This window comes from Homo sapiens, chromosome 6 (genome assembly GCF_000001405.40).
Source record: "Homo sapiens chromosome 6, GRCh38.p14 Primary Assembly".
Taxonomy (NCBI): Eukaryota; Metazoa; Chordata; class Mammalia; order Primates; family Hominidae; genus Homo; species Homo sapiens.
In genome coordinates, this window is record NC_000006.12 from 111842152 (window position 1) to 111854859 (window position 12708).

The 12708-nt window shown below is 42.9% G+C and overlaps 1 protein-coding gene across 7 annotated transcripts in view, besides 3 other annotated features; it reads right to left on the reverse strand.

The window, feature by feature from the left end:
- Positions 1-12708, reverse strand: part of FYN (FYN proto-oncogene, Src family tyrosine kinase) — a 213121-nt gene that overhangs the window by 181820 nt on the left and 18593 nt on the right. For 3 of the 7 annotated variants that reach the window (XM_005266892.5, NM_002037.5, NM_153047.4), the window contains exon 2: positions 4438-4478. The exons of 2 other annotated variants lie outside the window; for them this stretch is intronic. The gene's annotated coding sequence lies outside the window, so the exon portion shown is untranslated. Of the gene's footprint in view, positions 1-2625; positions 4375-4437; positions 4479-12708 lie in introns of those variants that run through there. 2 more of the 7 variants (XM_047418570.1, XM_017010651.2) reach the window with 2 other exon arrangements.
- Positions 750-859: an enhancer, noted in NCBI's record as "active region_24955". NCBI's record gives its function as "activates an Ori minimal core promoter by ATAC-STARR-seq in GM12878 lymphoblastoid cells {active_cell/tissue: GM12878}" and the evidence as "EXISTENCE:reporter gene assay evidence [ECO:0000049][PMID:35858748]".
- Positions 8363-8442: an enhancer, noted in NCBI's record as "active region_24956". NCBI's record gives its function as "activates an Ori minimal core promoter by ATAC-STARR-seq in GM12878 lymphoblastoid cells {active_cell/tissue: GM12878}" and the evidence as "EXISTENCE:reporter gene assay evidence [ECO:0000049][PMID:35858748]".
- Positions 8453-8512: an enhancer, noted in NCBI's record as "active region_24957". NCBI's record gives its function as "activates an Ori minimal core promoter by ATAC-STARR-seq in GM12878 lymphoblastoid cells {active_cell/tissue: GM12878}" and the evidence as "EXISTENCE:reporter gene assay evidence [ECO:0000049][PMID:35858748]".

Sequence of the window (12708 nt, forward strand, 5' to 3'; positions counted from 1 at the left end):
TGCCTGATCACCAGCAGAATGGGTCAATCTGTGTGTGAGGTTGAGAAAGGTAAATGAAGAATGTAGGCCACTTTGGCCTCCTATAGTTTCTGAGGCTGGCAGCCTGTAGTACATGTATCAGGGAGGGCCTGAGGAACAATTCCCGTCTGCACATAGGAACTGCCCTGTCCAGTGTCCATGGGTTCAGAGGCACCAGAAGCACCTGAGTCCTGCCCCTGCAACCCGCCCATGCCCACTCAGGAAGCAATGGCTCCCACAAATGGCAGGGAGTTGTGCTTATGCTATTCTTCCCTTCCTCTTCTTCACTCTCTCCCTCACCTCCCTTAAGCAACCAGTACACGCATTTGCGCGGTACACCCCAAAGCCAATGTCCCCCTATTCACACTGGAGACACATCCTCATGTCACCCCAGCAACCAGCACTGTGAGGCCTTTGGATACCCCATGTAAACACTGCTGGCCTCTGACCCCGGAAATCTTATTCTTCCCACAAAAGAAAAAACTTGTATGAATTAATTTTCCCACCTCTTAACCAGCTGCATAGAAATCATGCGGACATGGCTTTAAAGCTGGATTCCTGATGCGGCCTCAAATTTCTAACCCTCGATTACTTAGAATTAGATTTTCCCCCCACAAGACAATTATCCCCACACTAAGAATCTAGGAGGTTTTTTATCATTTCTCTTGGGACTTATTAAAACCAAAGAAACACTGAAAAATGGAGCAACTTCCATGTACATTCTACATTAACAGACCAACACATTTCAAAGAACTCACTCACTCAGAGGAAAAGTAAACAATTCTAAGGCAGGAGGTAATTTTTCTTTTTACTTTTCTTTTTGAATGACAATTTTTGTTTCGGAAGGCCTCTGTGTCTATCAAATAGGCAGTAGTGTTTGTGGCCATATTTGTGGCCTGAACGCAGCTGTCTAAACCCTGCAAACAGTTGGAATGACACTGCAGGAATTCTCGGTCTCACTGAAACTGCAGAAATGGCAGGGGCCTCTCTCATGGCAGGCACTGAAATACCTTTAATCACACCAGACAAAGGCCATCCAGGATGCACGGAAACCAAACCTCTCTCCTCAGCCCTTTGAGAGTAGTTGAAGTGGATATTATTTTAATCAAATCCTTTTAAATCACTAAATAGGATGACTCCATTTAATTAGCTTTTTACACAAAAAGCACATTTTTGTTCTGATACAACTTGATTACATATTTTTCAATTTTTAAATGGGTATGGGTTTCACTTTTTAAAAATACACTTTATACACTTAAAGCAATGATATCTGGAACTGTAACCCTCAAGAATTCTAAAAGATTCTGTGGAAAAGAAAATATTTGCTTTAATGTTTCCCTTGTGCACTACTGCGTCCCCCTCTTTTATCTTTGAACTCTCTTTGCTTGCCCAGATTAGTTCAATTTTAAGAATGATCTGTTCATTTGTCTGCTTGAAACTTTGTACTTTTGGGGAGCAAGTCAAGGAATGATGGTCTTATCGCCACATAATGCTATTAACAAGCATGGTTTCCACTCATTCATGCCTGCTCAATTTTTTAAGAGGGCCTACTATGAGTTAGGCACTAGGCTTGGCACAGATAAGGATTCTGAGCTGATAAAGCCTGCAGTTCCACAGTGAACACTGCTGTCAGACAGTCACTGCACAGATAACTATGCAACCACAATGACAGCTTTGAAGCGGCCGTGGCGATAGGGCAACCCCATCCAGCCTGGGCCTTTAGGGGAGTGTCAAGGAAGAGCTCTCTAAAAAGTAACAAATGCCGCTTTCTTAGAACTTACGAAACTTAAAAAAAAATAAGGCACACAAACATATTGTCTCAAATATTATATAAACTCCAAAGTAAGGTGGGGTATGGGAAGGGGAAAGCTCTGAGCCCAGACAGATCTGAGTAGAATCCTTACTATAACTACAGCACCTTGAGCCTCTCATAGCTCCCTCACAGGACTGCTGTCACAGTGAAGTGTAACATAGATGATATAAAGCACTCTGCATAGCAGAAGTTCAATAAACCATAGATATTAATTAATACAGAATTTATGCTAACTTGTCTTTGAGCTTTAGCATGTCAAAATAAAGCTAATTTTCCACTTCTGTCTTTACAAAAACGTTCAACTAAAAGAGGAAACTTAAAAATCCACATGAAGAACAAACACTGTAACTTTGGCAATTTTTCTCCACTGGAGTTGGCCAACAGGTATCATTTACTTATACAACAGATGCACATCCTATATTAGATTCTTCTGGATAGGTAAACACAGACAAAAAGAAAAGTTGATAGATCCGTGTTCAACAGTGTTCTACCAGCAACAGAAAAAGGTTCTGAAAGTGGAACTTCTAGAATAGAGCTTTTAAAACAGCAAACTCCCCTAAGGCAATGATTGTTTTTCAGGTCATCAACTACTTGACTGAGGAGAGGGTGCAGGCAGAGCCTTTCAGAGGTGCCTCAGACTCACTCCATCCAAGCAGCATTTCTACCCGTTTAGCTTCTCTTAATCTGGATTCCCTGTGCACTTACAGACATCCACACCACGGGTCAGTCACCCGTGTTCACTCTTTTGTTAGACACTCATTGCTCCTTCAGTCCCAATCCATAACTGGTCTTACCTGGCATTCTTTAGACTGGTGGCCAACAGCCCTTTTTCCATTTTAATTCAAGACCCAAGTCAGAAAACAAAAACAAAAACAAAATGTATTTGGTTTGTGTTTTTCAATTTAAAAGCGAGTAATTTTACTTGGTCCTGTGAAAGGGACCACTTTACTGATAAGAAAAATGAAACTTGGGGAGGAGAAATGATTTTTCTAAGGTCTAACAGGAAGTTAACAGCAGAAGTGAAGCAAAATTGAACACATTCCATTCAGTGCCCCCCACACCCCACTAACTGAGCCCTGCTGTTTGCCCGGCATGGGGCCAGGACTGGGAACCCAGATGAATGGACTTCCCCCTCCTGTGGCTGCAGGATTCACTGCCTGAGTTGGACAGGGGAGGGCAAGTCCTGCAGTCTGGGGCAAATGCCAGGCATTTCTTTGGGCTCCAAGGCACAATACTGCCCTGAGGGGGCTCCTGGCACCCATAGGCTCTTGCCTGCTGTGGACCTGGCCTAGTCCAGAAGGGTCACAGTATACTGACCTCCCATAGGCGACAGTCTTTGCCAATCCCTGGCTTCCACAGCCAAAACCTGAGTGCATGCGGATTCTAAAAAGGCTCCTTCTGCCTTGTCCTAACTAGAGCTGTGTTATTTCCCCAAGTTGCCCTGGTTTGTATGAGCTGAAAAGCCCGTGACTAGCAGTAGATCACAGGCCATCCTGCAGAAGCTAGGTGCCTGCATGGGGTCAAAGGTCAGGAGTTACTCACAATTGTTCTGGAACAATGTTTCAGATAGTATACTTCCCTAACTTAGAGACAAACGAGCTGCATTCAGAATGGCTCTAGTTCAGAAAGAAAAGCCTCTCTTGCACTCAAATCAAGATGAGAAATAACCCCAAGTCATTCTCAGATGATGAAGGGGCAGCCCCCAAGTGGCCAGGGAATTGAGGAACATAACTCAGAACAGCTGAAAAGTTACACCCAAGGCAATGTGGTTGGGCAGAGTAGTGGGGGCCGAAAAGGACGCCTGGGTGGCTAGCGAGAGCTGCGACGTCCAGCCTTTCAGTGGGGGAACTCAAGGCACCTGGGGAGGCAGAGAGACGTACAGGCAGAGAAGGCTCAGCAAACATTCAGAGAAAGAATGCATTCACAGCTCCTCACACCCACTCCATCATGGAGTTTTTCTGGATAGCTCAGCCCTCAGTCAGAGCTTCCAAGCCCCTTCTGCACAGCTCTCAGATTGTACCATCATTACCTGAGTACTTGTCAGTCACATTCACTTTTGTCTCAAGAGAGTCCAGCATGATGTCTAACACCCAGTAGGAACCAAAAAAATGTTACATTAATGAAAGAATGACCTGCTACACAGTGGCTGCAATTCAAAGATACGGCTCAGGCAGAGGTGAGCAGCAGCCATCTGAGAGTGGAGGAAAAACAACAATGAATGGACTGAAAACGACCTCCTTGACCAGCCTGAGGATAGGCGCTCCCCATTCCTCCCCAGCCTGAAGGCTCCTCAGCCATGGGACAGCTGTTCCATTCTATTTCTGGGGTGGGAGCCATAACTTATAGTCAAAACATATGTTCCCATAAATTACCAGAATTGAGTGTTACAACTAAGGGAAGGGAGAAAATAGTGGGTCCACCAAAGGAGGTAAGGTTTTCTTTCTATTTCACAAACCAGTTCCTTCTCCAACTCGACCTCTCTCTTAGAAATCTATGGACTCAGAATTACAATCCCAAATTAAAAGTGGACTTCATCCTAGGTTCCAACAGGAAGCCCTTTATAATTCACAAGGCACTTGCTCTCAGTGCAAAACTTGCCAACTTACTTTTTCCACGTTTAGATCAGCATCCTGCTTCTTCAAAAAAACTGTAGAAGAAGAAAAAAAAAAGTGAGACATCAAAAGAGAACCAAGTACTCTCTGCCTACAAACCACCCACAAAGCACCACCATAGAATTTCCATTTGTTGCAGACAATCAATTTGCCCACAAATTTTTTATCATTCACACAATTGTTGCTAAGTCACAGTTGCCACAAACACCTGTCTGAAACTGCAAAGACCTGGCCTTGTACCACCAAAGGAAGCCAGCATGAGATTTTAACTTTCTGGAATCAGGAAAGATAAGGATAGAGGCCTTGTGTGTACACACACACATACACACACACACACAAACACAAACACAAACACACTTCCCTTTTTCAGAGTCTCTACAAGTCATCAATGGTTGGGGCACAATTAAAACTGAGTCTTCCAAGGTCTTACTCAATTTACCTCTTGGATTAAAACACCCCCAGCACCCAGCCCATACCTTCCCCACTTCCTATCTGACTGTGGGTGGGCCCCGCTGTCAAAAAAAGCATTTTGGGGATGGCCCCTGGTTCCCAGCAGCTGGGGTTCCCCTCTGCAGGAGGTTTGCCAACCCAGCAGCCTGCATCATCTTGTCCATGGAACTCCAGCCCCGGGACTACCTTAGAACCTTGTGCCAAGCCCCTGGCGAGGCTGAGTGCTGGTTCTGATGACACCCATGCATGCTTCACATTAATCTTTAAAGTGCCAGGAGCAGGATGGCAGCTTTCCAGTTTGCTCACACGCTGTGCCTACAACTGGCCAATATTATGGTACTTCATTTATTATCTGCAATTTTAGCTGTTTGAATAAAGCTGCAGTTTTAATAAAGTGTCTAAAGAGAACAATAAAAATAGTTGAATGGAATTATGTTTACAACAATATGTTAGGGCAGAGAGCTTTGAGTTAAGAAATATGAAAAAAGGCAGGAACAATTTTTCCTATCTTGTAGAGACTCTTAAGCTTTTCAATGTGACTCTTAGTATCTTTCTTCCTGATCCACGATTTAAAACACCCCCATGATAAGTTATTATTCCCATCAAAACCATCCCCCACCACACACACACACAAGAATTTTTGCACTGTTTGGAAAGATGTATAATTAACAGTAACATCTTTGTTTTGTTTAATCAAAGATGACTCGGAATGAAGGAAAGAAAAAATGACCATGAGGAAGAGAATTTGAAACTCATATATTGTTCTCTGCAGATGGGCATTCAAATCATGAACTCACTGGAGATGAGCAAGAGAACCACCATGGAGGTGAGAGAGAATGTGCTAATAAGCATGCCATTGCAGCTCATGCCTTAGCAACCCATATCATCTCACCTCTTCCTGGGTTCTGAGACATGCTGTCCTGTCCTACGGAGAAACCGCCAGGCAATAGATGCCTTTTCTTTTGGCTAACCCACTAGGGATCTAGACACTGCTAAGCTGTAAAAAATGAGAATTATTTGTCCAGAAATTTTAACTTGCTTCCCTATAATCAGAAGAGAATAAATCAATACTATGAGAACTCTTCACAAAAGGGAACATGTATAGAGTGGAACTTTGCCTTCTATTCTTGAACACTTCTGCAGAGGCTCAGAAAAGTTGTTGCTCTGATTCACAGGTCACAATAAGGAGATTTCTATTTACAAGGTGGAAGACTTTTTCATCAGCCTTAGAAAGAGCACTTGGAGAATCATTACCATTTCCAAAGTAGGGAAGAAACTTTAATACCCTTCTTTCAAGCATACTGTGTAATTCCAACAACATAGGATGCCCAATTCACAAGATTCTGAAAGAATGAGCCTTCACGCTACAGCACTTTAGCAACCAGTACCAATAGGAAAACGGAAAACCCATTTGAAGCTGCTGACTCACTACTGCATAAGGAGTGTTATCCATCCATACATATATACGGCATCATCCAATTTCTTTTTCAGGCTTACGAAACAGATGGAGTTAACTAACAAAAACAATATATACACCCATCATTCTGCAGCCATAAACCAAAAGGAGGACACCACAGCTTTAACTCTGAGGACTCTAAGCAAGATACTGAAATATTTTTAGAGAGCGGCTCCACTGTTTCCAAGATGATAAGGATGGACGCAAAATAGAATTGCTATCTAGAATAAAGAGTGGCATTTGCTTTTAAAACCACGTATATCTTTCTTAAGGCTGTCTTTCTGAAAAGTTGAGAAAAAGTAAATGTTTATTCACAAATGTTTAAGTGAAATAGAGATACTTTTTATTTCAAAGATTCATATTTTCTTAAAAATCATTTTTTAAAAATTGACCAATTATCTTCCTAATTTATCTTTATTCTAAATCTGATTTTTTGAAGATGCAAGTTTTAGGTTTCCAAGACTAAGGGAAGATAGGCTTCTCCCACGCCCACCCCCGTGTGTGTGTGCATGTGCGTACAGATATATTATATTGATATGCATATGTAGTTACACAGACATTTTAAACAGTTGTCTATGCATTCAATTGTGGGCTTTGGGCATTAGGGCATTTTCCATGCTTTTATTCTTCTTGCTGAAGCAGTGCTGATGTTTCGTTTGAGAAACATAACTGAAGTGACCCAGATAGCCCAGTGGAAAAGGCTGATCCATTAATGTTGCAAATGTGTGGTCAACTGCAGGAATGGAAGCCAAAGGACAAGACCCTGACCAAAAATGAACTACTTCCAACTGCCTAGATCAGACCAATCCTCCAACATTGGGTGAACACACAGACAATAAATAAAACTGAGCAATCCTCAACTCTGAGCTCTCTCTTGATACAGCCATCCCTCCAGCTCCCCGTCACCCCCCTGCACTGTTTCCGAATGCCCACAGACATCTCCCTATGAACCTCACGACAGGGCAGTGCAGGCAAAGCAACCAGTACACAGTCAAAGGAGCATGGGCTGCACGCTTAGAGGCCTGACAGTGCTGCACAACAGAGGAGTGGCTAGGAGGATGGTGGCAGGCTGGAGGGAGAAAGGTGGGAAGTAAGGCAGAGGCCAGACTGTGAGAGACGGTGTACAGTAGCTAAGAAGGCAGCCAGAAGTAGCACTGTACCACTGTGTTTTCAACCTGCCTCTATCCCAGGAAAGGGCCGAAAAAGAAAGGCAGCCCCCAATAATTCCTGGTGCTGGGCTATGCCTTGTCATTCCAATCTCACCAACCCTGCTGGGTAGCAACTTTCTCCTAATCAGCCTGCAGGGTCCAGATTAAAATCACTTTTTCACTCTTGTTTTCCTTTGCCCACACCCCCATGCAGGACTAGATTTCCTCTTCTCTGTGTTCCCACGGCACTTTGTGCAGAGCCTGTTTCGTTGTTTCCCCGCTAGACTGTCAGCTTCTTGGTGACTGGGACTACACCAAGCATGGTACCTGCAAGATACAGGGGCGTGTGCCATCTCTGGTGATGGCTGGAGGAAGGGTGAAGAGGGGAGGTGACAGAGAGAATTAAATCAATGGAGATCCAAACTGGAGATTCTGCTATTATGTTTACTACTACCCAGCAATTCTTGCTATTGAAAGAGATTCAATACATTAGGGTCATAACCATGTATCATACAGGATGAAGGACATTTAAGAGCCATGATGAATCCAAGATTTAAATAATGGTTCAGGATTTTGTCTGATTATCTTAAAAATGGAAGATTGAGAGAAAAACAAGGTATAATTTTCCCTTGCCATGGTGTCTTCTCTATTTCAAATTCAACTCTTTTTACTACTTGCAAAAGATTTAAAATATTCACTGACCTGCCAAAAAACATCTGTACATTGCTAGACACATCTTCACAGATTCACATCGGAATGGCTTCTTTCTGCACCAATGATCATAGCTCTATTCAACCACAACTAAAGTGAGAACCTCAGAACCGTACGTGGAGTGATGTCAGTGGTGACTGAGGATAAAATAGCCGTTTGATGCAACTTCCATATCGAGCGTGTCCACAGGGACAAGTGCTCCTTCACTTATTCTTAACTTAGGATCAAAGGCACAAAAATGACCAGGCAGGGACAGACTCTGCCATAATTCCAAAGAAGGCTGAGACATATACACAGCACACACAGAAGCTCCTCAATGCTCTCTGGCAACGGGGCAGCCCCTGGCTCTCTGCCTGCAGCCCAGGAACAGGCCCACTCTCACAGGGCTCCCTGAGGCCTGTGCAGCTGCAGACAGACATGCAGTGTGTGGGACCATCCACGCTCAGGGTCTCCACAGTCTCCTGTGTGCCCAACAGCTGGGTTAGGCGCCTGAGACAGGACCCAGCTCAGACAAGGCCCTCTGTTGTGGAGCATTCCTCATTGCCACGTTTCCCCAGGAAAAATGTATTTTCCTCCAACCATTCATTCTGGCCCCAAACTAGCTCATTCTCCTGTGTCTTGCTCCACACACAAACCTTCTCCCAAGGTTAGAGATGGCAGCAACTGCAACTTCTTCTCCTGTCTTATTCAGTCCTAATCAAGGTACAGTGATATGTGCACGTTCAAAATGAGGGGCACGTGATGAACATGGTACTAGACATTGGTACTACCCCAGGGGCATCTAGGGGAAGACTCTAGTCTAGTAGAGGACAGCAGAGGTGGCTGGGGAAGGCCCTGGTGTCCCCCACATTGGGAGGATGGCACAGGTATCAGCCAGTGCTATGTGTACTTTGTATTACTATTTTGTTCTTGTTTATCTTACGTAAATATTTATTTTAGCTCATTAAAAAGGTAATACACGCTCATTGAAGATTTGGAAAATATGAAACCCCTGTTATGATACTGAAGCTTTTCCTTTTGGGCCAGTTTTTGTATGAACATACAAATTTCCACATTCTACCCCAGCACCTCCGCCTTGCACATCACAATTGAGAGCACACAACTTCTGACAGAGGCAACCAAAAGGGGAAGGGACCCTATAAGAACAGTGTACCTAGAAGCACTAACTGCACGGTCTGTTTCAGTTAGTATCATGATGACCACCTGATGATGCCCTTCATCCCTGACCTGTGAATTACTCTCTACAATACAGAATTGTGGTCCACAGGCAGGGAGGAAGAGGCTGGCTTGGAAACCAAGTTCCATCCCTAGCTCTGCTATTTATCTGCTCTGCGATTGGGTGGGAGAGGGTGTGGCAAGGGTCACATATTTAAAAACCCCAGGGGCCAGGTAAGCAACATAAATGAATAAAGCAGGTAAGATGAAGCTGGGTGAGCTGAAGAGCCCTGCTCCCTCCAAAGAAGACAGCCACAACACTGCTTGGGCAGGCTGCTATCATTAGAGAAGGCAGGTTCAGTTTTGCCAAATCTTCCCTTTTTTTTTTTTTCAAGAGAAGCTGGAAATCTCAGCTTTTATGTAATACTGTCCTATTTAAAAGTGTTAGTTTACATTTTTGAAACGCACCATGTGGCCCAACAAAACATAAATGACGGTATGTATGATCCAGCCCATAGAGTGGTTTGCTATCTTTAGAAGTAATAAAAAGGTACATGCCTCCGTTTCTCCTTCTGTTAAATAGGAAATTGACTATCTGCTCACCACTGGGGATTTATTTAAGAGCACAGAGGGGGTTCCATTATCATATAACAAAATAATCCAAATGTATTCAGATATACAAAGCAGGGTAACACGTTCCCTTATATTTCTTAACCATGGTTGACATAAATGGGGCTTGATGTGGTGTGGAATTATTCGAAATGTACACTCATGCAGTTAGCTTCTAAATAAACAAAAGAAGAGAGCTGCAGTAGACTTAGAGGATGAGGGTGTGACCAGCTGGTGATACTGTATCAAATGGTGGAATGAAAGCCAGACTGGAATGGCTCTGATTTTTAACAAACACCGTGTGGAGACAGGTAGTATTGACAACCCTCTCAAGAAGAACTGAAATAAAGGGTGGTAGAGAAGTGGGGTGTTGGCCAAAGGAGAATGGGGATTAAGAAGAGTACATCCTTTAAGATAGATAAACTTACAAATGTTTATATGTTATGGAAATTATCTCATTTTAAGGCAAGCAAACAAAAAGCCCAAGTACCAACTGAAGGAACTGTGTCAGAAAAATACGAGACTGTGTTGGGTGCAGTAAAAATTTTATTAGTAAGAGTTAAAAAAAAAATCCAAAATCTAGTTATATAGGTTTTCCTAAACAAGAAGCCAGGAAAAAAAAAGTCCTTACTACAACACACACTGCCCTACATTTTACACTGTGCCATTTCTGTATTTGTCCTTTTTAGCCTACTTCTATCACAGTCTCTCTTTGCTAAAATACATTAGTTGCCATGGAAACGATGTCATAGTGTGTAAAACCATTTACTGTCCTTGGAAAGGCATTCATGATAAAATTGAACAGTAGCACGTTCCACAAAGAGAAGCAACAGAACCAGTTGTGCAAGAACACAACAAGGTTTCACAACTGTGACTTCAGAGTATTCCTCTACCACCAACATCATAGGTCTCTGAGAATTGCCTGAGCTTTTGCATGTCAGTTTTCCCCAAATCACCCAGAGCAGCACCTTTCCAAATGTACTTAAAAAGTCTTCATCTAATGTTGATGAAGACAATAGATTCCCTAGAATTCATACTTCCAAGAGGTGGGGAGGGGCTGGAAGACCACGGAATCAGAATGGTTTTATGCATTGTAAGACTTCCACTAATGGAGAGGATCCAGTCCTGTCATACATTCTGCTGACCAACTTTGTTATCAGAGATACAAATCATATTTGGAACATAGAGATTTGGACTTGAATTTGCTTACTGGCATGGATTACCAAGACACTCCTTTTTTTTTTTTTCATCAATTCAAAGTAAACCAAATCATCACATCAAGAAAATACATTGTGCAACTCTCATGTCCCCTTCTGACAAAGAAGGCACATAGCCAGGTGTATGTTCCCTGGAAGCTTAAAATCTAGTTGGGGACAATCAGGCAAGAGCACAAACGGCCTCTTGCTTGGGCTGTGGCAAAGAGCTGGATTTTATCCTAATTGCGACAGGATGACATCAGGAGAGCAACATGATCTCATAGAGATTCTTTTAAATATATGAATTTTTAACTTTAGAGACAGGGTCTCACTGTGTCACCCAGGCTGGAGAGCAGTGGTAAGATCATAGTTCACTGCAGCTTTGACCTCTTAGGCTGAAGCGATCCTCCTACCTCAGCCTCCTGGGTAGCTAGGACTACAGAAGTGCTTCATCATGACAGGCTAATTTTCAAATTTTTTGTACAGATGGAGTTTCACTGTGTTGCCCAGGCTGGTCACGAATTTCTGCCTTGAAGTGATCCTCCTGCTTTGTCATATAGATTTTTAAAAGCTCATTCAGCCATTGTGGGAAGTGGGGTTGGAAAGATCAAGACTAGAGAAGGGCAGAGTCCAGACAAAGGAGGGTGGAAAGCAGATGGAGAAATGTGATTTTCTACCCAGGTTGACAGTGTCCTTCCCTTTGTCTGCAAAAGTGCTGGTTTATGCCTGTTGTCGCAGCAGACAGTCAGGTTAAGCACTTGTTCAGATGTTTCACTTCATAAACCAAGTGTTATTACTGGTTATATTAAAATACACCAGGATGGGTTTTGTAACCTCCAGTTTGCACTTGCAGCTTCTCCCATACCTTGTCTACCGGTGTGTGAGACGACTATACAGTGAAGGGAACGTTCATGTTAACATGTGATTAAAGCTGAAAGATGACCAATGACAATCCATTTCTTTTCCTGTCCCTTTCCAATCGTGGTGTAAGCAACACCTCCCTTTCAAGGACAACACGCAGTATGCTCACCATAAAACAAAGAGTACTTGGACATGAGCAGCTAAGGGCAGCTAACTCCTTCCGGTCTTGATTGGCAGTAGGAAAAGTATTCCAGGCCACTGCCTCACCAGACACTAGATGTGCTGACCATTGCACTGTGACCTGTGTTGCAGCCTGAGATGCACGGAACAGCAGTCAGAAGGGTTAATGGAAAACACAGAAAGTTATAGGTTAGGCATACATGAAATATTCGCAGGAAACAGATCTGCTACAGATCTTTTAAAGAATTGTCTGAATGCTCTCATTTCAGTGTTTTTGTCATTTATTGAATCGTTATACTATTTTATTTTGCAATATACCTTTTGGCAGTGATGAGCTAAAAAGAAAAAGAAAATGCAAGTTTAATAAAAAATTAAGTACCAAATTTCTGCTTTTCAAGAAAGCAGATGATGAACATAAATTCACACAAAATGCTTGTTGATACTTACTATCCATCATGGGAGCCTTAGTGATATCACTGACTACATAAACCACAAGTCA